Below are 25,772 nucleotides of genomic sequence, written 5' to 3' on the forward strand. Positions count from 1 at the left end.
TTTTTTTTTTTTTTTTTTTTGAGATGGACTTTTGCTCTGTCCCTCAGGCTGGAGTGCAGTGGCGTGATCTCGGCTCACTGCAACCTCCCCGTCCCAGGTTCAAGAGACTCTTCTGCCTCCGCCTCCTGAGTAAGTGGGATTACAGGCATGAGCCACCACATTCAGCTCATTTTTTGTATTTTTGGTATTTTTTTTTCAAGACGGAGTTTTGCTCTTGTCCCCCAGGCTGGAGTGCAATGGCATGATCTCAGCTCACTGCAACCTCCACTTCCTGGGTTCAAGCGATTCTCCTGCCTTAGCCTCCCAAATAGCTGGGATTACAGGCACGTGCCACCATGCCCGGCTAATTTTTGTATTTTTAGTAGAGACAGAGTTTCACCATTTGGCCAGCTGGTCTTGAACTCCTGACCTCAAGTGATCCGCCAGCCTCAGCCTCTCAAAGTGCTGGGATTACAGGCGTGAGTCACTATGCCTGGCCCAAAACAGCTGTTTTAAAAGGGTTCAGAAGGACATACCTCAAGGGGTTAAGAGTAACTACCTCTGAGAAGAATGGCAAAGAATACTTTATCTCGGTGTTTTAATTAATTTTTTTTTACAAGAGTAAGATGCGGACATGGTATAATTTTCCCATGTTCCTTTGCAGTTTCCCTCTCAATATCCCAAAACAGAGAGTAAGGATGTCTAGTCCACCTCGTTGAAAGGGCAGCAGGGGAGCCTGTTTCACCTTCAGCTGAAACACAGGGGTCATGAGCTGCAGGATGACCTATCCCAACATGTACTGCTTCTTGTACAAACCCAGATTAACTAATTCCAAATCACTCGAGCTCATTCAAAGCCTTCAAGTTCAAAACTCTATGACAGCTGCAAAATGTCAAAGAAGAAAAAGAGACTGCATGGTTCCTTGAGTTTTCCCTGCCAATAAAAATTGTTCAATTAAGCTGATTTCCTCTCTTCATTTTTCCTCTAAGGAACATGGCATCCTCATGGCATCCAAATCTGCACTCTTGCCCAGAGATAAAAACTGCTAGCTTTTTCTTATATCTACTTTATACTGTAAACTTACTTTTAATTAAACTGGGTGCCTTAAGGATGACATATACTGTCTTATAAGGGAACTACTAAACATCTGGTCACACGCTGGCATCTAACACAATGCCAAAGCGTACCGAAGTCTGAGCATGGATGTGGATGAATGGAGGTGATTTGAACACAGTGCTGGCCAGGCACATTGGCTCACACCTGCATTGCCAGACTTAGGGAAGCAGAGGTGTGAGGATAGCTTGAGCCCAAGAGTCTGAGACCTGCCTGGGCAACATAGCAAAACCTCGATCACCACAAAAAGTAAAAACAAACAAACAAACAAAACAAAAAAAAAAACAGTGAACACAGTGCTAATAAAAATGTGGTTTCAAAATGTGGTTTCAATCCATATCTGGGCATTAACTCTCAAAAAGAAAAGAAAATCAGGCTTATACCCAGGATCCTAGGTAGTTTAAAAAATGAACGTATGCTTATAGTTCATATCAATTGTATCAAGCACAAGACAAAGTTCACATGTACAAATAAGGCTTTTGTAAGCACAGGCTTACCGTTCCCAGTGCTGTGTGGCTGGCTGCTAGAAAAAAAGGAGGATGCGCTGCTTTGAATACAATTAGATAATTTAATCATTTGCGGGAACTGGGGGAGAAACATTTATGTTAGATTCAGAGACTGTCAGAAATCATAATGGGAGATGACATTAAATAATGATAAGAACTAAAACTGCCTCCAGTTAGCTTGACGCTGACATAAGCCTTCACAGGCAACAAAGTAAAAAACTGACAGAACAGTCAAAGTACTGGGTGTTTTGGGAAATTACAGTGTTTCAAGTCAAATCCAAAGCAAAATAACTTAAGAATTTCAATGTTTAGACATTGCTGCTCCCTCAGCTTCAATGTTTGTGATGCCAAAATTGGGTAATTCATCATATCCTTGGAAAGGAGGTAAGTGGCACTTTCATAAAAATAGCAAAACGATGCTCCCAGTGTAAGAAAAAGTACTAGATCTTTGGAAATATTCAAATAGTTGAGGATAGCAATTCAATTTGGCAGCACAAGTTAAAAGTCCTAAAATCACCTTTGGATTCAGCAAGTGCACTTTTTAAAAGTTAAAACTGCCTTGGATCTGGCCTCAGGGAGAAAAACAAAGAAAAAAGTCATCCTGGAAATTTCTGAACCACAAACAGCCAGAACTCAGAGCATGTGTGGAGTCCAAACCCTAAGTTGAAAACTGACATTAATGCAGCTTGGTAATGAACCCAGGTAATGCCCGCTTCGGGAGAACCCACTTTAAGTCTAGGCCTCCATCACCATAGATTAAAGATCCACGAAACACACATTCATAATTACACACAGTCTGCTCTGAACCTCACAGTTTTCTCTACTACGACTTGTACCTTTTTCTTTTTTTTGAGACAGGGTCTTGCTCTGTCACCCAGGCTGGAGTGCAGTGGTGCGATCACTGATCACTGCAGCCTCCACCTCCAGAGCTCAAGCGATCCTCCCACCTCAGCCTCCTAAGTAGCTGGGATTACAGGTGCAAACCATCACGCTCAGCTAATTTTTAATTTTTTTTTTTTTTTTTTTTTTGAGACTGAGTCTCCCTCTGTCACCCAGGCTGGAGTGCAGCCGTGCGATCTCGGCTCACTGCAACCTCCACCTCCTGGGTTCAAGCGATTCTCGAGTAGCTGGGATTACAGGCACATGCTATCATGCCTGGCTAACTTTTGTATTTTTTGTAGAGATGAAGTTTCACCATGTTGGCTAGGCTGGTCTCAAACCCCTGATCTCAGGTGATCCACCTGCCTCGGCCTCCCATAGTGCTGGCATCACATGCGTGAGCCACCATGCCCGGTCTAATTTTTTGATTATTTTGTAGAAACTGGGTTTCTGTATGTTGCCCAGGCTGGTCTTGAACTCCTAGCCTCCAGCACTCTTCCTGCCTCAGCCTCCCAAAGTGCTAGGATGACAGGTGTGAGCCATCATGCCCAGGTGACTTGTACCTTCTTATATAATTTCTATTTATTTATTTATTTATTTATTTGTTTGTTTGTTTGTTTGAGACAGGATCTTGCTATGTCACCTAGGCTGGAGTGCAGTGGTGCAATCTTGGCTCACTGAAACCTCTGCTTCTTAAGTTCAAGTGATCCTCGCATTTCACCCTCCAGAGTAGGTGGGACTCCAAGGGCACACCACCATGCTAGGCTAATTTTTAAAAAACTTTTTGTAGAGACAAGGTCTCACCATGTTGCCCAGGCTTGTCTCAAACTCCTGGGCTTAAGCGATCCTCCCGCCTTGGCCTTCCAAAGGGCTGGGATTACAGGCATGAGCCACTATACCCAGCTTTATATGACTTCTTATATGGGGGAATTATTTTAGTATAACCCAGAAGTCTTGCTGGTCTATCTTGCAGTTTTACACAGCATCTTCAGGTTTGGATGCAATCACAGTAAGCTTTCTTTTAACAGTGAACTTGAACAATACCGTGAAAAGCATGACAAACAAGCTAAGGCTGGGTGTGGTGGCTCACACCTGTAATCCCAGCCCTTTGGGAGGCCGAGGCGGGAGGATCACCTGAAGGCAGGAGTTCGAGACCAGCCTGGCCAACATGGTGAAACCCCATCTCTGCTAAAAACACAAAAATTAGCCAGGTGTGGTGGCTCATACCTGTAATCTCAGCTACTCAGGAGACTGAGGCATGAGAACGGTTTGAACCCGGGAGGCACAGGTTGCGATGAGCTGAGATTACACCACTGCACTCCAGCCTGGGCAACAGAGCGAGACTCTATTTCAAAACAAAAAAACAAAACAAAAAACAGGCCAGGTGCGGTGGCTCATGCCTGTAATCCTAGCACTTTCGGAGGCTGAGGTGGGCAGATTACCTGAGGTCAGGGGTTCGAGACCAGCCTGGCAATATGGTGAAACCTCGTCTCTACTAAAAACATGAAGATTAGCCGGGTGTGGTGGCAGGCACCTTAATCTCAGCTACTTGGGAGGCTGAGGCAGGGGAATCGCTTGAACCTGGGAGGTGGAGGTTGAAGTGAGTGGAGATCATGCCACTGCACTCTAGCCTGGGCGACAGAGTGAGACTCAAAAAACAGAAAAAAACAAACAAAAAACCAGAAACCAGCCACATGCCATTTGCAAAAGACACATGTAAATATGAGGACAAAGAAAAGTATAAAGTCAAAGTATGGGAAAGATCTGCCAGGCAATGTTAACTTAAAGATATCTGGTTTACATCAGGTAAAATAGACTTTAGGGGATTAAGCTTGACTGGGAAAGGGGGCCACTTTTTATTGATGAAAAATGAAATCACTTGAACATATTACAATTCTAAACTTCATTTGTTTAATAGAATAACTCCATAATAAAAGAGTAAAATAGACAGAACATCAATAATCCTCTACCATTATCACTGTAATAGTTGTAGATCACTGGCAACATCCCATAAATGGTTTTGTGCACCTTTTACATATTAACTCAGTTAATATTCGCATCAATCCTGTTCCTCAGTGTCCCTATTTTATAGACAAGGAAATTAAGACATAAGGATGTTACACATTTTTCTCAGAAAGTGTTAGAACAAGTTGAAAAACAAAATCCTTAATGATAGGAATATTTGGATAAAACAGTAAGTTTGGCCTAATAAAAATACTAGAGAATACATATTATTTTCAATTACTTACAGAATATTTCTAAAAACTGACTGTGTACTAGGGTATAAAACGAATCTCAACAAATAGAGAAGACTCAAACTCATACAGATTTCCCAGGACCATAATGCAATTTAGTTAGAAATCTTGCCAGGTATGGTGGCTCACGCCTGTAATCGCAGCACTTTGGGAGGCTGAGGCGGGCAGATCACTTCAGGTCAGGAGTTTGAGACCAGCCTGGCCAACATGGTAAGACCCTGTCTCTCCTAAAAATACACACAAAAAATTATCCGGGCGTGGTGGTACACACCTGTAATCCCAGGACTAGGGAGGCTGAGGCAGGAGAACTGCTTGAACCCGGGAGGCAGAGGTTGCAATGAGCCAAGATAGCACCACCGCACTCCAGCCTGGGTGACAGAATGAGACTACGTCTCAGAAAAAATAAATAAATAAATAAATAAATAAATATCTGTAACAAAAGTTGAAATATGTCATACATTTGGAAATTTAAAACCATGCTTCTAAATTGATCATAGGTGAGAGATTAAACAGTAAAAGAAAGGACAAATATCTGGAAATGGACAACATTAATAATACCACATACCAAAATATGTGGGATACAGAGAAAACAGTACTTAAGTGGGAAGTCTGTAATCTTAATGTTTATAATGGAGAAGAAGAAAGACTGAGGTAAGCATCTAAAGAAAGAACTTTTTAAAAGGGTAATGGAATAAATCCAAAGGTAATGATAGAAGGAGAAGGAGGGGAATGGGGGTGGTGGGGGAAGAAGTTAAATAAATAGAAAATAAAAATAGAAAAGGGAGGCTCCACAAAGATAAAATCTGATACTAGTAACAATGATTTTAAGGCTGGGCACAGTGGTTCATGCCCATAATCCTAATACTTTAGGAGGCTGAGGCTGAGGCCAACCTGGGCAACATAGTGAGATCCCATCTCTATATACAAAAAATAATAATATAATAAAATAAGCATAAATAATTTCTTAAAAAACGTATCCAGAAAAAAAGAAAAAAGTATTAAAAAAGGTATTAGGAGTAAATAGGGGAGATATATGCAGCAAAAATTAAGGTGAGAACATATTATGGGCAACTTTTTGCCAATAAATTTGAAAATTTATGATGAAATGGATATATTACTATAAAAAGGTAACCCACTAGGATCAACCCAGAAGTAGACAATAAAATATGGAATCCGTAGTTTGTAACTGATTTACGCAAAGAAGTATCATAAAACATTTAAGGGATAGTGAGTTTAATTTTACATATATTATTTCAGAAAAAAGAGCAAACACTCCAAAACTCATAAGTAATGCAAAGTAGAACAGACAAGAAAGGAAAATTATAGATCAATTTCAATGAATACAGACCATTTCAATGAAAAATCTTAAATAAAATATTAATAAATTCAGCTACACATAAAAACATAATACATCATAATCTAGTTGAATTTGTCCCAGGAACACTAATTTGGCTCAATGTAAAAAAAACTGATTAATGTAATTGACCACGTTAATGAATTAAAGGAAGCAGAACAAATATTTAATGATATTCAATAATAAGTCAAGCTTAAAAAAAAGCTCTTGGCAACACAGGAAAAGGAAAATTGTTTAACCAATAAAGGGTATATTAAAATCATTCTTGGCTGGCGCAGTGGCTCATGCCTGTAATCCCAGCACTTTGGGAGGCCGAGGCTGGTGGATCACCTGAGGTCAGGAGTTTGAGACCAGCCTGGCCAACGTGGTGAAACCCCATCTCTACCAAAAATACAAAAAATTAGCTGGGCGTGGTGACGCCTGTAATCCCAGCAATTTGGGAGGCTGAAGCAGGAGAATCACTTGAACCCAGGAGGTGGAGATTGCAATGAACCGAGATTGCGCTAGTGCACTCCAGCCTGGGCAACAAGAGTGAAACTTCGTCCCAAAAAAAAAAAAATCATTCTTAATGGGGAACCTTTTGAAGCACTCTCTTTGCAATCAGGAACAAGCTGAGGAAGTCCACAATGATGACTCAGCAAAACAGAGGGCATAACCAGCAGAGTTAAGATAAGAAAAAATTAACAAAAGGCATGAAGATTGGAAAAGAAATGCAACTATCATTACTTGCTGCTGATATGACCATCTCTACAGAAAAAAACAGAAATGAAATGACAGTTTAGAGGCTGAGTGCTTTTTTTTTTGAGACGGGGTCTGGCTCTGTCATCCAGGCTGGAGTGCAGCAGCAGGATTGTGGCTCACTGCAAACTCTGCCTCCCAGGACCGAGCAATCCTCCCACCTTGGCCTCCGGAGTAGCTGGGACCACAGACATGGGCTACCATGCTCCACTAATTTTTCTGTATTTTTTATGGAGAAAGGGTCTCACCATGTTGCCCAGGCTGGATCTGAACTCCTGGACTCAAACAATCTGCTCACCTTGGCCTCCCAAAGTGCTGGGATTATAGGCATGAGCCCATACACCACACCAAAAAAAAAAAAAAAATTATTTATTTAGAGACAGGGTCATTAGCAGGGTGTGGTGGGCTCCTGTAGTCCCAGCTACTCAGGAGGCTGAGGCAGGAGGATCACTTGAGCCCTGAAGACAGAGGTTGTTGTTAGCCAAGATCACACCACTGCACTCCAGCCTAGGCGATACAGCGAGACTCTGTCTCAAAAAATAAAATAAAATAAAAAATAAAAATAAATAAATAAACATAAAAAATAAAATAAAAAGAGACCATATCTCGGTATCTCTAAAATATATACATATATACTTCTTTTAGCGCGCACACACACACACACACACACACACACATATATGAATGATACATACACTGATTTGCCTCATTCAACATAAAATATCTTTTGAAACTTTGGGCTAATCTAACTTATTTTAATTGAATAACATTTTAAATATTTAACTTTAGCAGCAAATTAATGTCTTTTGGTAAAGTAAGTATCTCCATTTTGAGATCAAATACAGATATTGAGAACACTCCCCTGCTCCTGAGATGGGGTCTCGTTATGTTGCCCAGTCTGGACTCCTGGGCTCAAGCAATCCTCTTGCTTCAGTCTCCTAAGTAGCTGAGTCTAGGGGTATGTGCCACAGCACCTGGCAAGAATATGTATTTTAATATATTTAATAATTTTAGAGAAAGGCATACTAATATTAACGTATACCTAGTCTTTAAGCAAGGAATTTGGCAGAATTTGGCAAATAATAGTTCACACCATTTCCCAACTAAACTCAACTCTAACTGATCTGTCAAAAGCTCAACAAATCTATAAAAACTCAGTGCTTTCACCCACATACAGCATGAAGCTATGAATGCCCAAACAACCATGGGCATCATGAATGAGTCCTTGTTATGTAAAAGCCTAATTTTGTTTACATTGTATTGATGACTTTAATAAAAATAAAATTCAGCTTCTAGGGAAAAAACGCATATTGAGCCACAATGAGAAACAGTATACACTTTATAATATTTCTAGTTGGCAATACAAGTCCATTTAGAGAAAAGCTTTTGAGAGGACTGAAATATGCAAGGCTTCAACTACAACCTCACTGTTATCAACCAGGAGGAATCAATTAGAAGTCAGGCAAGCAGTGAGACTATTGCTCTAAAGGAACCATTATAAGCAGCCAAGCTCTTCCAGATGGCCCTGTCCTGTCTCCTCCGGCTCTCAAGAAATTGACTTTCTCTTTGAAAAGCCATTAAGAGCCACAACCTTCTGGAACGTTGTTCCCAGACTGTTCATAGTCTAAGTCTCCACTTTATCACCCTGGTGACTCAACAGATAAAACGTCTCAAATTCTAACACCGAAGATTCCCCACACTTGAGCTTCTGGTCCCCACAATGGTTGACACAAAATGAAAATGATTCCCCATGTAGCGCCTTTTGTGGCTACATTAGAAATGAGAACTTGGGGATGGGTGGTCGGTGATGAACACTCACAGGGGAAATGAAAGACACACTTGAGCTTTCTTTTGTCTTTTTTTTTTTTTGGCGATAGTTTCGCTCTTGTTACCCAGGCTGGAGTGCAGTGGCGTGATCTTGGCTCACTGCAGCCAACGCCTCCTGGGCTCAAGCGATTCTCCTGCCTCAGCCTCCCTAGTAGTTGGGATTATAGGTGCCTGCCACTGCACTCAGCTAATTTTTGTGTTTTTCGTAGAGATGGGGTTTCACCATCTTGGCCAGGCTGGTCTCGAACTCCTGGCCTCAGGTGATCCGCTCACCTCAGCCTCCCAAAGTGCTGGGATTACAGGCGTGAGCCACCGTGCCCGGCCCACACTTGAGCTTTCACCTCACCTTTTCAACATCCGCTTTTGTGACATTGATGTCAGCGTCCATTTTCTCAAAGTACTGCTGCGCCCTGTCCGCCTCTTTGCAATCGCGTTCAAATCGCCTTTTACTCTAAAATCAGAGGAAAATAATTATGAAACCATAAGAGTCCTACGAGAAGATGTAATTTTATCTAAAGCTCCCAAAGAGCATTGTTCTTTTTCTTTTTTTTTTCTTCAGTCAGGGTCTCACTTTGTCACCCAGGCTGGAGTGCAGTGGCGCCATCTTGGCTCACTGCAGCTTTGACCTTCCCGGCTCAGGTGATCCTCCCACCTCAGCCTCACTAGCTGCTGTGACTACAGGCATGCACCACCATGCCCAGCTAATTTTTGCATTTTTTTGTAGAGACTAGGTTTTGTCATGTTGCCCATGCTGGTCTTGAGCTTCTGAGCTCAAGCAATCCTCCCGCCTCTGCCTCCCAAATTGCTGGGATTACAGGCGTGAGCCAATGTGTCTGGCCCAAGAATACTCTTCTCTGAATTGATTTCTTATATGTCATAATTTCTAGAAGTTATTTTAAAATCTGCATTTATTTCCATCAAAACTGTCTAATCTTTATTATTTCCACGTGACTTTTAGAAAAATACTCAACTTGAGCTCTTTTGGCTCAACTTTAGATAATGGTTCTAGAAACAAATTAAATGAGAAAAATCTATAAAGATGTTTCATTAGTGTTTTTATGTGCATGTTTTTTACTTTCTGATTGACTCAAGCTTAAATTAAATTGAAACTGGAAAATCTATAAAGACATTTCCTAGGCTGGGTGCAGTGGCTCACGCCTGTAATCCCAGAACTTTGGGAGGCCGAGGTGGGCGAATCACTTCAGGGCAGGAGTTCAAGACCACCCTGGCCAACATGGCAAAACCCCATCTCTACCAAAAATACAAAAATTAGCCGGGCATGGTGACGTGTGCCTGTAATCTTAGCTACTTGGGAGGCTGAGGCAGGAGAATCACTTGAACCTGGGAAGCAGAGGTTACAGTGAGCCGAGATCGCACCATTGCACTCCAACCTGGGCAACAGAGGGAGCCTCCGTCTCAAAAAAAAAGAAAAAAAAATCTATAAAGCCGTTTCTTTTGCTGTGCATTGTTCACTTACAGATTCAAGCTGCTTCCAGCAAGTCTCGATGTGCTGCTGTGCTTTACGGCCATCGTGAAAGTTCTGCAAAGGGGAAAACACACTGGTGATTAGTACCCTCTGCTTCTCTTATGAACCCAGGAGGAAACATTTTCATCCACTTAAACAACATCTAAATATTGAACCTCTAGTATGTATGCTCCAAAGAAATTTAAGAGTTGAAAGGGGTAGCCGGGTGCGGTGGCTCACATCTGTAATCCCAGAACCCTGGGAGGCTGAGGAAGAAGAATCGCTTGAGCCAAGGAGTTCAAGACAGCCTGGGCAACACAGTGAGACCCCCCACTCTACAAAAAAATAGAAAAATTAGCTGGATGTGGTGGCACACACTGATAGTCCCAGCTACTCTGGAGGCTGAGGTGGGAGGATCACCTAAGTCCAGGGAGGTTGACACTGCCACATTGAGCTGTGATTGCACCACTGCACTCCAGCCTGGATGACACAGTGAAACTCTGCCTCAAAAAAAAAAAAAAAAAAAAAAGGAAAAGGGAATAAAAAGCTTAATGTGGAAACGAAAACAAGAATAGTCATCACAGATGAAACAAGTTTCACTTGGGGGGAAAAAAAGCAGTCACAGAGTTCCCTTTACAGCTTTAGGTACAACTGTATAAAATTTGAAGACAGGCCAGGCATGGTGGTGAGCACACCTGTAGTCAGTTACTTGGGAGGCTGAGGTTGGAAGCTCACCTAAGCCTGGGAGGTTGAGGCCGCAGTGAGCCGTGATCGTGCCACTGCACTCCAGCCTGAGTGACAGAATGAGACCCCATCTCAAAAAAATAAAATAGGCTGGACGGTGGCTCACACCTGTAATCCCAGCACTTTGGGAGGCTGAAGTGGGTGGATCATGAGGTCAGGAGTTCAAGACCAGCCTGGCCAATATGGTGAAACCCCATCTCTACTAAAAAGACAAAAATCAGCCAGGCGTGGTGGTGCGTGCCTGTAATCCCAGCTACTTGGGAGGCTGAGGCAGGAGAATTGCTTGAACCTGGGAGGCAGAGGTTGCAGTGAGCTGAGATCGTGCTAATGCACTCCAGCTCTGGGCAACAGAGCAAGACTCGGTCTCAAAAAATAAAAAAATAAAATAAAATTTGAAGACATATATGCCACTTGGAAAAACGACAGGAATGTTTTAAGACAGCGATCGCTTCATCTTTTTTAACTGCTTTGAGATATGATTCAGATATGATCTGATTTACCATTTAAACTAAGCAATTCACAAAACTGTACAACCATCACCACGACCAATTTTAGAATATTTTTATCACCCCTAAAAGAAACCTGTACCCACTAGCCGTCACCCTCCATCTTCCTCAGCCCTAGGGAGCCTGTTTCTGTCTGTGGATTTGTTTATTCTGGCTGTTTCCTATGAATGGAGACATGGTCTGAGGCCTTTGGTAACTGGGATGTGTTCATTATCTCCTCATATCCACTTCGCATGATTTCAAGGTCGACATTGTCACATGTATCAGTACTCCATTCTTTTTTATTGCCAAATGATTATTCCATCATGTGGCTATCCCACATTTTGTTTATCCATTCAACAGTTGATAGACATCAGAGTTGTTTCTAGGTTTGGGCTATTATGAAAAATGCGGCCAGGCCAGCACTTTGGGAGGCAGAGGTGGGCGGATCACGAGGTCAGGAGTTTGAGACTAGCCTGGCCAACATGGTGAAACCCTGTCTCTACTAAAAATACAAAAACTGGCCGGGCGTGGTGGCGTGGACCTGTAATCTCAGCTACTCCGGAGGCTTAGGCAGGATAATTGCTTAAAACCTAGGGGGCTGGAGGTTGCACTGCACTGAGCCGAGATCGCGCTGCTGTACTCCAGCCTGGGTGACAGATCAAGACTCCATCTCAAAAAAAAAAAAAAAAAAAAGAAAAAGAAAAAGAAAAAGAAAAAGAAAATTGCTGCTATAAACACTTGAGTAAGAGTTTTGAGTGTTTTGTGTGCATGGCTGTTTTCATTATTAGATTATTTTAAATATAAAGATAAATTTCCCTCCTGGCCATCTGCAAAGGCCCTGAGGCAGGCTCTGGTGTGGTGTTAACCTGGCGGCCAGATCTGGAGGAGCCTCGGGGAGAATATCATATGAGGTCAGAGAAGAAAGAGGGAGTTGTATAGGGTCTTGTAGGCTTTTTTGCCTGAATGAACCAGAGTCGATGAGTAACTCTAAGATGTTGTGAAGGAAAGATTTCAGATGGTGGGAGGCTTTTGTAACAATCCTGGAGATTACTGCAACTTGGACAGGTTGTAGGTAGCGAGCAGTGCAGGTGGTGAGAGGGGTCAGGTTTTGGGCACCTTTTGATCACCCAAACTTCCAGGATTTTCTGGGAGATAAGATGAGATGTGCAATAATGAGCTGCCCAGGGTGACTCCGAGGTTGTCAGTCTGAGCTTTAGGAGAAGGAAGACTGAGAGAAGTGGGTCTGAGGAGGAAGATCATACACGTAGTTTCACATGTGTTAAGGCTGATATTTCTATGAGACTCCCAAGTAGAGAGACTAGCCGAGCGTGGTGGCTCATGCCTGTAATCCCATCACTTTGGGAGGCCAAGGTGGGCGAACCACCAAAGGTCAGGAGTTCTAGACCAGCCTGGGCAACATGGTGAAACCCCGTCTCTACTAAAAATACAAAAAGTAGCCAGGCATGGTGGCGCATGCCTGTAATCCCAGCTACTCGGGAGGCTGAGGCAGGAGAATCACTTGAACTGGGAGGCGGAGGTTGCGGTGAGCCGAGATAGTACCATTGTACTCCAGCCTGGGTGACAGATAGAGACTCCATCTCAAAAAAACCCCCGAAAAACAAACAAACAAACAAGTAGAGAGACTAATATGTACTTGGACTTGTGGATCTGAGCTTAGGGAGCGGTCTGTACTAAAGACCAGTTTGGGAGTCTTCAGTATAAAGTGGATAGTTAAAGCCAGGAGACCAAAGAAGACAAAGATCCCAAGGAAGGAAGTGCTAGAAATATGCAGAAATGTTAAGAGAATGGTGTCTTTTTTTTGTTCAGTGACCTAAAATCACCAGTTCCCTAAATCCTTTATATATTTTATTTTTTGAGACGGAGTCTTGTTCCGTTGCCCAGGCTGGAGGACAGTGGCGTGATCTCGGTTCACTGAGACCTCTGCCTCCCTGTGACCTCTGCCTCCCGGGTTCAAGTGATTCTCCTGCCTCAGCCTCCCTGGTAGCTGGGAATACAGGTGCGACCCACCACGCCCAGCTAATTTTTTGTATTTTTAGTAGAGACAGGGTTTCACCATGTTGGCCAGGCTGGTCTCGAACTCCCGGCCTCAAGTGATCCGCTTGCCTCGGCCTCCCAAAGTGCTGGGATTACAGGCGTGAGCCACCGTGCCCGGCCCCTAAATCTTTTAGTATCCTTCCACACTGTACCATCGCTGACTTGGTCAATGTCCTGCAAATTTCCCAGGTGCATTCTCCACCCTGTCTGGGTCCCCAGAGACTGACATGCAGGGATCTCATGAACCCTTGCCCTCTGGTTCTGATGAGATTTGCCACAAGGATGTTCTGAGTGATCAGAGGGCAGGAAACTGTACCTGCAGCTTCTCCTCACTGAGATGATACAGGTTGGCTGGGTCCTTGGACCAAAGGGCACAGCTCCAGTCAGGCAGTGCCCCGCATGCAGCTAACCTCAGAAGTTCCTCATCTGTGAAATTCCTGGAAGGCTCCTCCAGCCCTGTGAGGCCTGGGGGCAACATCAGCTCCCCACTGTGACTTGCTCCAGGGTACTGAACCATCCTCACTGCTTTTCCTAAACTCTATCCGCCACGTTGTAAATGCTCCTTTTAATAACCGACCTTCCTTCAATTACTGAGTTTGAATGTGCTGTCTGTTTTCTGGCTCACAAGGTAAGCATTGGTGTTAGGGGTGCACTGCAGAGAAGGTCAGGTGAAGGAAGGATAAAAACAAAGAGGTCCACTAGGTAGAGCCTCGGAGCTTTTCCCGTACCTCGTCAGAACCTAGGATTTAGCGGAGTCAGAAAATGGAGCTGACAACTGGAAAGGCTGGGAAGGCAGAGACAACATCAGATTTAGAACAGTGCTCCTTTATAAGGGAATGTTTTCTTGTCTCTCTTTTGAGGTCGAGTTTCACTGTTTTAAGCGCCTCTTTGCAGTCAGTTTTATCTATCCAGCAATTTTTTGGTCTCTGCAAACCCAGGGGGAGCCCCTTGGGGCTTCGTTTTTCAGCTCTTGTAATGGACATAAGGATAGAACAGAAAAGAAGGGATCCAGGCTGTGGGAGAATTAAGAAGTAGAGCCAAGGACAGGGTTAGGGAAACTCTGGACCTTAGTGGAGAACGTATAGAAAATACAAGCGGGTTTTCTGAAAGCCACGCTTTCAGGGAGGACCCCCCAGAGACCAGAGCGTCAATTTCAAACCATCTGGGCTCAACTGTGCCCTTTTTGGAAGGCACCTCTGGTCCTGAAAGTCTTTATCGGGTGACTTCTCTGCGAAGAGAAAGATCCCATTTCCTAAGCCGGAGCACCGAGTTACGCAGTTTGCTGAAGAGATGCAGCCGCTCCCAAAAGTTTTACTTTGAGATTCAAAGACAGGAACAAAAAGAGAAAACCCCAGCACCAATTCAGAGCTGTACTCGAGGTTGACGATCTATCTCTCCAGCACCTCTGAAAGTGAATGTTTTAACAAAGTGAAAGCTCCCTCCAGCTTGGGGCAATGCTGTGGGTGGAGACAGGAAATGCACAGAAGCCCAGCAGACAATGACAGGCATTGCCTGGGACATGTCACCTGACTTTCATATAAAATAAATCTCTGAAGACAAGAGTCTTAAAAAAAAAAGTCTTATTTTAAAAACACGAGGGATGATTTTGATTGAAAAATCCATAGAGTGGTTCCCTTGCCACTCCTTAGTGTAAATATATAATAAATATGCATTTGTGTTTAAGGCACGGTGTGCACCTTGAATTTACTGGTAAGTTATCTCTCATGAAGACTGCTCAGCCACACCTCTCCCCACATTATTAAACCACTACCTGAAAACTGCAATTATCATCGTACCATTTCATGGGGCTTAGGAGATTGTGGGTGATGCCCATCTTCCTTCCTTCCAGCCTTTTTTTTTTTTTTTTTTAAAAAAACAAGTCTCTGTCACCCATGCTGGAGTGCAGTGGCACAATCTCGGCTCACTGCAACTTCCGCCTCCTGGGTTCAAGCAATTCTCCTGCCTCAGCCTCCTGAGTAGCTGGGACTACAGGCATGCGCCACCACGCCCGGCTAATTTTTGTGTTTTTAGTAGAGACAGGGTTTCACCATGTTGGCCAGGCTATCCTCGAACCCCTGACCTCAAGTGATATGCCTGCCTCAGACTCCGAAAGTGCTGGGATTACAGGCATGAGCCACCATGCCCAGCCCCAGCCTTTTTCACAGTACCTGTCCCTCTATCATTTATTTGGCCATAACATACGAAAAACTATCCGTGCTGGGGGATCCTTCAGGAAATTAAGGGAGGGAACAAAAGCCCTCCTTTGTGCTCTGTGCCTACCATGACCTGAATAGCTGGGGTTTGTTTCTAGCTCTATCTTCGCTGCTTTCACCGGAAAAGCTATTTTAACAGTTACAAAGTTAAACAAATAAACCAGCTTTGCCAGATGTATTTGTTGTTTACCAACAATGGCCGAACATTTCTTTTCTGGACAGTGAGCAAGTGTGTGTCTAAAAAGTGTGCCTGCAAGCACTAAAGAAGGAGGAATTGTTCTCCGGACAAAGATAAAAAGTGCTTCTTTTGGAGCCATAGAATGAAGTCATCACAGCTCCTTTCTCTCCTATCAGAAAAGAGACAGGAAATGCCATCTCTAGAGACCCAGAGAAATGCTTCTTACTTTCTGCTGTCATAAGATGCTTTTAGTTTCTTTTAAAACATAATAATAAGCTAAAACAAACAAACAAACAAAAAAACCCAAACCCTAATAGTTTCTGGGGTGACAGCTACACTTACTTATTTCAACTTTTTAGTTGAAATAAAAGTCTACACAGATCAAATCACCCTTCAAATTTTTTAAAGAAATTTCCCAGTGAACAGAGGTGGCTGAGATTAAAAAAAAAAAAAAATCACAGAGAATCTAAAATAAGCAAGCATTAACTTTAAGAAAAACGACAATGGCAAAGCTTTTGAGACAATTTTACTGAACTGCAAGAAATCACAGACAGAACAGACAAACTCACACAAATGCTATGAGAATGTTTAGTATTCACACTGCAATTAGGTACAACAGCTGCTCATTTTTGCTATTTATATAGATATTAAACCATTAACAGTTAAAAGAGCAAAATATGGCACTGATGTGAGAACAGCCCTTTCAAAAAAAAAAAAGTAGAAAAAAACATAAGAATAAACACTCAACTGAGAACAGTCAACCATCTGGAATTTTAAATAAAACTCAGATTCCACAGATGCAAACAAAGAAACAAAAAGACTTGAAAAGGGCAAAGAAAGAGGGAGCTTCCAGCAAACATGCCTGTGACAAATCCTGTTTCCTCTAAACTCACAGCGTAGTAGTGGGTTTGAACAGGAGCAGCTTCCAAGTCTGAATCAGGACTCCCAGTTTTAATTGAGCTAGAACTCTAAGCGGCGTGGATATTTCTATGGACCATGTGGCGTAATGGCAAAACGCCTTAGTCCTGTTCAAGTGGGTATGTCGTACCCCACTTAAAACCCAAACCAGAAACCAGAAACGTTCACTAAGGGACACACATTCTATTTTTACTTAGCAAGGCTTATTTTTCCAAGTTTATCCATAGTAAAAATACCTTCTTAATGAACGTGTTCGAAGTTTTCTAAATGCCTACCTCTCAGAGGCATGCTCAGTTGCTTGACTTTACCCGTAACACTGAGCAGCATGAGGCAATGGGCCAGGGTCAGGCCTAAGCAGCAGCATTTTCCCTCCCTCCTTCTCTGGCTACTCCTCTGCTCACTGTTCCTCGGTTATTCTCACCCAGAAGGCTCCACATGCAGCAATGATCTTTTATCTGTTTTTCAAAGCAATCCTGTCTTCACATTCCTTGAAATTCGCATCCCTAGGCCGCAATCCCAGTACTTTGAGAGGCCGAGGCAGGGGGATCGCTTGAGGCCAGGAGTTTGAGACCAGCCTGGGTAACATGGTGAAACCCCATCTCTCTTAAAACACACACACACACGCGCGCGCGCGCACACACACACACACATAGAAAGAAAAAGAAAAGAAGAAAGGGAAGGAAGTGAAGGAAGGGAGGGAAGGGAGGGAAGGAGGGAGGGAGGGGGGAAGGAGGGAGGGAGGGAGGAAGGAAGGAAGGAAGGAAGGAAGGAAGGAAGGAAGGAAATCAATCAAGAAATCTTAATTCCTCTCATGGAATGGCTCATTTTCTTGCCTGATCCCTTCTGAGGATATAAAGCTGTTACTTGCAGCATCTGATACAGAGAATCTCCCATCAATAAGATTTTTAGATAGAGTGCCAGGGTGATCATCCCATGCTCACTGACATGCCCACTTGTGAACAGGGCTGCTCCAGGCACGAGGAAAGCTGTGTAAACAAAACAAAGTCCCCTGTCCCAGTGAAACTGAGTGGATCCAGAAGTAAGACAAACAGGGTAAAGGAATAAGGAGGGATGGGTGTAGGTGAAGGTAGCTATTTTAGACAAGGGCAGTCTGGGATGACATTTGAGTAGAGACTTGCATAAAACGTGGGAGTGAACTTACAAGGGTCTGAGGAATACCCTCCAAGCCGCAGGCAGAGCAAGTGCAGATGCTCTGAGTGTGAAGGGGCTTGCCCTGTTTGAGGAACAGCTGGATGCCAGTGCCACTAGACCAAGGTAAAGGGCACAGGGACGGAGGGCAGGCAGGGGCTTGACCATGGACAGCCTCACCAGCCACGGTAAGCATGTTGGAAGATTTAAGAAAGGAAGTGACAGCCGGATGCAGTGGCTCACGCCTGTAATCCCAGCACTTTGGGAGGTCGAGATGGGCGGATCATTTGAGGTCAGGAGTTCGAGACCAGCCTGGCCAACATGATGAAATGCCGTCTCTACTAAAAATACAAAAAAAATTAGCTGGGCATAGTGGCACACACCTGTAATCCCAGCTACTTGGGAGGCTGAGGCAGGAGAATTGCTTGAACCTGGGTGACGGAGGTTGCAGTGAGCTGAGATCGCACCACTGCATTCCAAGTCTGGGTGATGGAGCGAGACTCCGTCTAAACAACAACAACAACAACAACAACAACAACAAAAGAAAGGAAGTGACATGGCCTGATCTACATTATTTCAATGTCAAGCTGGCTGCTGCAGGGGGAGGCTGTTACACTTGCACTCTCTCTAAGGGAGAGCTGGTGGTGGCTCTGACATGGAGATGGACAGTTGGACCACTGGCCACAGGGTAAGCATGGAAGCAGAGAAATGAATTAGGAGGCTCAGCAGAGTCCTCTAGATGAGAGATAATGAGGCACAGGACTGGGGTAGATGTGGAAGAGGGGTGAGAAGTGCTTGGACTCAGAACATTTACTGAAGGCAGAGCCAGCTAGACTTGTTAACAGATAAGAGATGGTGTGTAAGAGAAAAGAGAAAAGCTCTGGGTGACTATGTGTTTGGCCAGAGCACCTGAGTGTAAGAAAAGGTGTCCCATTTATTGAGAACTGGAGGGAGTGCAGACTGGAATGGAACATGGATAAGGACTTTGGGGGATCAGAAGTTGGTTTTGGGGCCGGGAGCGGTGGCTCACGCCTGTGATCCCAGCACTATGGGAGGCAAAGGCAGGCAGATCAGCTGAGGACAGGACTCCGGGATCAGCCTGGCCAATATGGCAAAATCCCGTCTCTATTAAAAATACAAAAATTAGCCAGGCGTGGTGGCGGGTGCCTGTAATCCCAGCTACTTGGGAGGCTGAGGCAGGAGAATGGCTTGAACCGGGAGGCGGAACTTGCAGAGAGCCGAGATAGCGCCACTGCACTCCAGACTGGTGACAGAGTGAGACTCCGTCTCAGAAAAAAAAAAAGTTTGTTTTGGGGTGGGCTAACAGGGTCACTGCACTACACCACTCTGGAGCCATCATTCACACTTGCTGGACTCCAGTCCTCTGCTGACAAAGGTGCAATGGTGATGCTGTATTAGGCATCTAAGGAGAGATGTCAAACAGGTGGCCGAACAAGAATCATGTGAGATACGAAATGTGAGTCAAGTAATTCTCACAATTCCCAGAAGAAAAGGAAATCATTAATTCTAGCTTGCAAAGGAGAAACACAAAATCCAAGATCACATTTCAAGCCCATGAAATGAAGAAAAGAATTTGAGTGTCCTGTTTACTAAGTATGTTATCCCATGAATGATAAAATTTAAAAAGAAATTTTTTTTTGAGATTGGGGGGTGGATCTCACTATGTTGTCCAGGCTGGTCTTGAACTCCCCGGCCCTGAGCAATCTTCCTGCCTCAGCCTTTCAGGTAGCTGGAAAACTTTTTTTTTTTTTTTGGCGGGGGGGTCACCAGACCAGTGGTTTTGCAGGTGAAACAACCACAGTGGTGAAAGGGCCCACTTTTAATGAACAGAATGCCACTTTTACATGTTCTTTCAAAACAAAGAAGATGGCTGGGCATGGTGGCTCATGCCTGTAATCCCAGCACTTTGGGAGGCCGAGGCAGGCAGATCACCTGAGGTCAGGAGTTTGAGACCAGCCTAGTCAACATGGTGAAACCTCGTCTGTACTAAAAATACAAAAATTAGCTAGGTGTGGTGGCAGGCGCCTGTAATCCCAGCTATGGGGGAGGCTGAGGCAGGAAAATTGCTTGACCCTGGGAGGCAGAGGTTGCAGTGAGCCGAGATTGCACCATTGCACTCCAGCCTGGGCAACAAGAGCAAAACTCCGTCTCAAAAAAAAAAAAAAAAAAAAAATCAGAAATGGACTTGTAAGTAGCTAGATTATATACATAAACTCCTTTTAGTTTTTGCTTTCCTTCATGCTAAGCTTTACCTATTTGCTGTCATCTCTTATAACAACATTTTGTTTTCCTAAATGTATTGGAGTCAGTCCATGCTGCAGAACTGGCTTATAGGAAATTAAGCCCCTTCATAAGATCCATAAATAGGACCTATTGAATATCTAACTTTGAAAAGAATGTTATAGGTTTTAGTGCAGTATCCATTTTCAAACATTTCAGAAACCTCGCGAGTAGTTTTAAATGGTCAATTCTAAGTAATGTGGAGTCTGTAAGCATACAGGTCTGAGGTTTATAAACATTTTAGTGAGTCACTGAAAGTATTGTATAATTGTTTCCTCTAGAACTCTTCAGATAACTGCTGCCAAAAAGTGATTCTGCTTCTGGCCAACACTTTGTGAGTAATGAACCATATTTTCCACCTGCAGGGAGAAGTTTTCTTGGAATTCCAGAAAATGTTGGCAAGAACCTCCTGGTTCTCCTTCTGGAGCTATAAATCTTCACAAATTTCTCATATATGATTAGTGGTAATCGCTGTGGAAAAGCCCAGACGTACTCAAAGGCTGCAGCTACACCAAACAACCTCTAAAACTCTTTTCTTCAATAACTTGACTCAATGTTCAAAAGTTGCTGATAAGAGTACATTTACAGTAGTTCTTATGGAGGAATATATGTGTTATCAACTCTGAATTACCCACATCTCAGATAAGCTAATTCCACACCCATGTTGATCATTTCAGTGACATTTGGAAATCTATCTATAAGTCTGTAAATCTATTGATAATTCTATCTGTAATTCTACTATAATTATCTGAACATAAATTATCAGAGTTTTATCAAGAACCATAAATCATGTATGTTTAATCATGTATGCTTTGACCTCACAGTCTCACTTCTGGGAATTTAGTTTGGGGAAGTAATCTCAGCCCACACACAATGCAAACAGCTTTGGAAGTAAAGAGTTTACTGCTGTATTGTTTACACAACTAACTAAGTAAATGAGTCAAAAACTGGTAATACCCTATAAATCAAACAATACACAATTAGGCAAATTATAACTTTGTTAGAACAATGCACAGCTACTAAAATTCCAAATATTTTTCTTTCTTTTTTAATATCTCTTCCAATAACTTTGAAAAAATTCCAATTATTTAAACTACACTTTTGGCCAGGCACAACGGCTCACTCCTATAATCCCAGCACTTTGAAAGGCCGACGCGGGAAGATTGCTTGAGCCCAGGAGTTCAAGACCAGCCTGGGCAACATAGCCAGCCCTATCCCTAAAAAAAATTAAAAAAAAATTTTTTTTTAAATCTAAAAACAAAAACGTATACTTTTTGAGGTAGAAACATGGAAAATGCTTACAATATTAAATGGAGAATCAAGAAGAATATAAATTATAGCTATAGTAGGATTAATATTCCTAACTTTTTTTTTTTTTTTTTGAGGTGGAGTCTCACTCTGTGGCCCAGGCTGGAGTGCAGTGGCGCGATCTCGGCTCCTTGCAAGTTCCGCTTCCCAGGTTCACGCCATTCTCCTGCCTCAGCCTCCTGAGTAGCTGGGACTACAGGCACCTCCCACCACGCCTGGCTAAGTTTTTGGGTTTGTTTTTTTTTTGTATTTTTAGTAGAGACAGGGTTTCACCATATTAGCTAAGATGGTCTCGATCTCCCGACCTCATGATCCCCCTACCTCGGCCTCCCAAAGTGCTAGGATTACAGGCGTGAGCCACTGCGCCTGGCCTTTTATTTTATTATTTTTTTTAGACTGAGTCCTGTCTGTCACCCAGGCTGGAGTGCAGTGGCGCGTTCTCGGCTCACTGCAACCTCTGCCTCCTGCATTCAAGCAATTCTCCTGCCTCAGCCTCCCGAGTAGCTGGGATTGCAGACATGCACAACCAAGCCCAGCTAATTTTTGTATTTTTAGTGGAGACGGGGTTTCACCATGTTGGCCAGGCTGGTCTCAAACTCGCCACCTCAAGCAATCCACCCGCCTTGGCCTCCCAAAGTGCTGGGATTACAGGCATAAGACACTGCGCCCAGCCAATATTCTTAAATGTTATACATATCTGCAAATGATATCAGGAAGAAAGCTTTGAAAAATGAGGATTTTTGATTTATAAGGGATTGTGAGATTTTGTCCTTTAATTCCGTTTTAGTAATATTCTTTTTATATGCACCCCAAGGACTGGCCACTGATTCCATTATGTCTAAAGAGATGGCGAACATCTCACTGAAAATGCAATTGCCCTAAGTGGAACCCACTAGGTGAAGAAGCTATAGGACCTCCTTGTCCAGGGCTTCCAGGACTGCTCATGTTTTCCTAAAGAGACAGATGCAGGCTCAGATGTCAGGCAAGGAAGAACCTAAACTGCTAAGTTCTTGCAGGGGAGAAAGGTTCTCTTTTTAGTGAATCTGCTTTTTGTTTTGTTTTGTTTTGTTTTGAGATGGAGTCTCACTCTGTCACCTACGCTTGAGTGCAGTGGTGCAATCTTGGCTCACTGCAACCTCCGCCTCCAGGTTCAAGCAATTCTCCTGCCTCAGCCTCCTGAGTAGCTGGGATTACAGGCGCACACCACCACACCCAGCTAATTTTTTTTTTTTCTATTTTTAGTAGAGACAGGGTTTCACCACGTTGGTCAGGCTGGTCTGGAACTCCTGACCTTTTGATATGCCCACCTCCGCCTCCCAAAGTTCTGGGATTACAGGTGTGAGCCACCGCGCCTGGCCGTGAATCTGCATTTTTTAAAAACCAACATTTTCACCAAAATGAGCCTACAGTTTTGTTCATCAGGAAAAACAATGGATATTCATAACATTAAAATGAACTGCGTTGTGATACAAAAATACAGTATATGTGCAGAATAAAAAGCATCTTTTCTCCTAGATACTTAAGTAGAAGTAGTAATCCTATTTTACAGTTAGATTTTTGTTTTTTGTTTTTTTTTAAGACAGAGTCTCACTCTGTCACTCAGGCTGGAGTGCAGTGGTGCGATCTCAGCTCACTGCAACTTCTGCCTTTTGGAATCAAATGATTCTCCTGCCTCAGCCTCCAGAGTAGCTGGGACTACAGGCACATGCCACCACGCCTGGTTAATTTTTGTATTTTTAGCAGAGACAGGGTTTCACCATGTCGGCCAGGCTGGTCTCAAACTCCTGACCTCAGGTGATCCACCTGCCTTGGCCTCCCAAAGTGCTGGGATTACAGGCGTGAGCCACTGTGCCCATCCTACAGTTAGATTTGAAGACTTAAAGATCAAACAGCTGGTAGGGCTACAAAGGCAAGAATGCCGTACAACAAAAAGGAAGGAAACATCGTCTTTGCACAGAGAGCCATTTTTCATCACGCTTACCCTTGTCAGAGATTCATCCATTTAAACACAGCAAAATGTAGATAAAAAGTAATTTTCAACCAGTATTGTCCACTGAACTTGGACATTCTTTCTATATGCAGTAATGAGATCCAGCACTAATCCTGTAAATTCAAAATCATCCCTTTGGGCAGCCAGGATTCTGCCGCTGTATCAAATGGCCCAATCTGTACTGTGCTGATGGTTAAGGATGGTACTTAAGTAAGGCATTATTTCTAGTCAGCCACGAAAAATAGTAGCTGGGTCTAAAATGTTAAAAGCAGCTTCTTGTTTCCTATGCCATCAACCAATTCCACATTTTATTTATTTATTTATTTTTCGAGATGGAGTCTTGCTCGGTCGCCCAGGCTAGAGTGCAGTGGCACAATCTCAGCTCACTGCAACCTCTGCCTCCCGGGTTCAAGCGATTCTCCTGCCTCAGCCTCCCAAGTAGCTGGGATTCCAGGTGCCTGCCACCACGCCCAGCTAATTTTTATATTTTTAGTAAAGATGGGGTTTCCCCATGTTGGCCAGGCTGGTTTCGAACTCCTGGTCTCAAGTGATCCACTCGCCTCGGCCTCCCAGAGTGCTGGGATTACCACTTCAAGTGAGCCACTGTGCCTGGCCCAATTACACATTTTTAGAAAGGTCATTTTAAAATCACTGAACAACTACCGTATGACACCTGCTCACAGAAGGCCTAAACATGCTCCGTTTTCTTTTTCTTTTTTTTTTTTTTGAGATGGAGTCTCACTCTGTCACCCAGGCTAAAGTGCAATGGCATGATCTCCGCTCACAGCAACCTCTGCCTCCCAGGTTCAAGTGATTCTCCTGCCTCAGCTTCCCGAGTAGCTAGGATTACAGGCACGCGCCACTGTGCCTGGATAGTTTTTGTATTTTTAGTAGAGACAGGGTTTCGCCATGTTGGCAAGGCTGGTCTTCAACTCCTGGCCTCAGGTGATCTGCCCACCTTGGCCTCCCAATGTGCTGGGATTATAGGTGCTCCGTTTTCTGTAACAAGCCCTGATCGAGAAGCTCTGGGATGGAAATGAGATTCTGCATTAAGTAACAGAATGATTACAGCAAGAGAAACTGGATATGCAGCATCTATTTATCAGTATACTGGAACGTTGTGCTGGGAGGTTCATATTTGTCTTCTCATAATTGTCCCCACAACTTCCTAAGGTGGCTATAATCAGCCTCAGCTTACAGATTCCTAAGTGTATGCTCATAGAGTTTTCATAACCTGCCTAGGGCAGGGCTGCCAGGAATCCTGAGCAGGGTTGTTGGCTGGAAAGCTTGCATCCTTTCCTCTCGCTGCCCACCACCAAGCAGGGGGCTCCAGCTCTGTGAACACAGAACTTATGTGGCCTCTCCCTGTCTTTTAAGACAGACCTGAAGCATGCTGTCAGCCCCTCATCACAGCATAGTGGGAAGGCGACTGAGTCTGGCCTCAGAAAACCTGGATTTGAGCTCTAACTCTGTTATGCTGTGTGCGCCAATAATTAACCTCACCAGAAGACAGAAATGATAGCATTCCACTGTTGTTTTAAGAATCATCCTTACAATAAAATAGTGTTTACTAAGTCAAGTCAGGGTAGCCAAAAGTAAAAGCTCTAAAGGAGAAATGTTGGTTATTACGAGAAGGTCTTAAATAGCTCCTTTTCTTCTTTTCTTTTCTGTTTTTTGTTTGTTTGTTTGTTTTTTTGAGACGGAGTCTCACTCTGTCGCCCAGGCTGGAGTGCAGTGGCGCGATCTCGGCTCACTGCAAGCTCCGCCTCCTGGGTTCACGCCATTCTCCTGCCTCAGCCTCCCAAGTAGCTGGGACTACAGGCGCCCGCCACCATGCCCGGCTAATTTTTTTTTTTTTTTTTTAGTAGAGACGGGTTTCACCATGTTGGCCAGGATGGTCTCGATCTCCTGACCTCATGATCCGCCTGCCTTGGCCTCCCAAAGTGCTGGGATTACAGGCATGAGCCACCGCGCCTGGCCTCTTCTTTTTTTTTCTTTTTTTTTTTGAGACAGGGTCTCACTCTGTCACCCAGGCTAGAGTGCAGTGGTGCCATCTCAGCTCACTGCAACCTCCGCCTCCCAGGTTCGAGCAATTCTTGTACCTCAGCCTCCTGAGTAGCTGGGATTACAGGCATGCACCATCATGCCCAGCTAATTTTTTAAAATGTATTTTATATTTTTAGTAGAGAAGGGGTTTCATCACGTTGCCAGGCTGGTCTCGAACTTCTGACCTCAAGTGATCTGCCCGCCTCAGCCTCCCAATTGCTGGGATTACAGGCGTGAGTCACCGCGCCCAGCCAAACAGCTCTTTT

General features: G+C 43.7%; 1 protein-coding gene across 39 annotated transcripts in view; it reads right to left on the reverse strand.

Moving 5' to 3' along the window:
• The window catches only part of FNBP1 (formin binding protein 1), a 166,693-nt gene that overhangs the window by 61,176 nt on the left and 79,745 nt on the right, over positions 1–25,772 (reverse strand). For 37 of the 39 annotated variants that reach the window (NM_001439055.1, NM_001439054.1, NM_001439053.1 and 34 more), the window contains exons 5-6: positions 10,129–10,191; positions 8,998–9,102 (exon numbers count right to left, since the gene is read on the reverse strand). In NM_001439055.1, coding sequence (NP_001425984.1) covers positions 8,998–9,102; positions 10,129–10,191 — 168 coding nt within the window. Of the gene's footprint in view, positions 1–8,997; positions 9,103–10,128; positions 10,192–13,719; positions 14,821–25,772 lie in introns of those variants that run through there. The other 2 variants (NM_001439051.1, NM_001439056.1) reach the window with 2 other exon arrangements.

The sequence above is a fragment of the Homo sapiens genome, chromosome 9 (genome assembly GCF_000001405.40).
Source record: "Homo sapiens chromosome 9, GRCh38.p14 Primary Assembly".
NCBI classification, from domain to species: domain Eukaryota; kingdom Metazoa; phylum Chordata; class Mammalia; order Primates; family Hominidae; genus Homo; species Homo sapiens.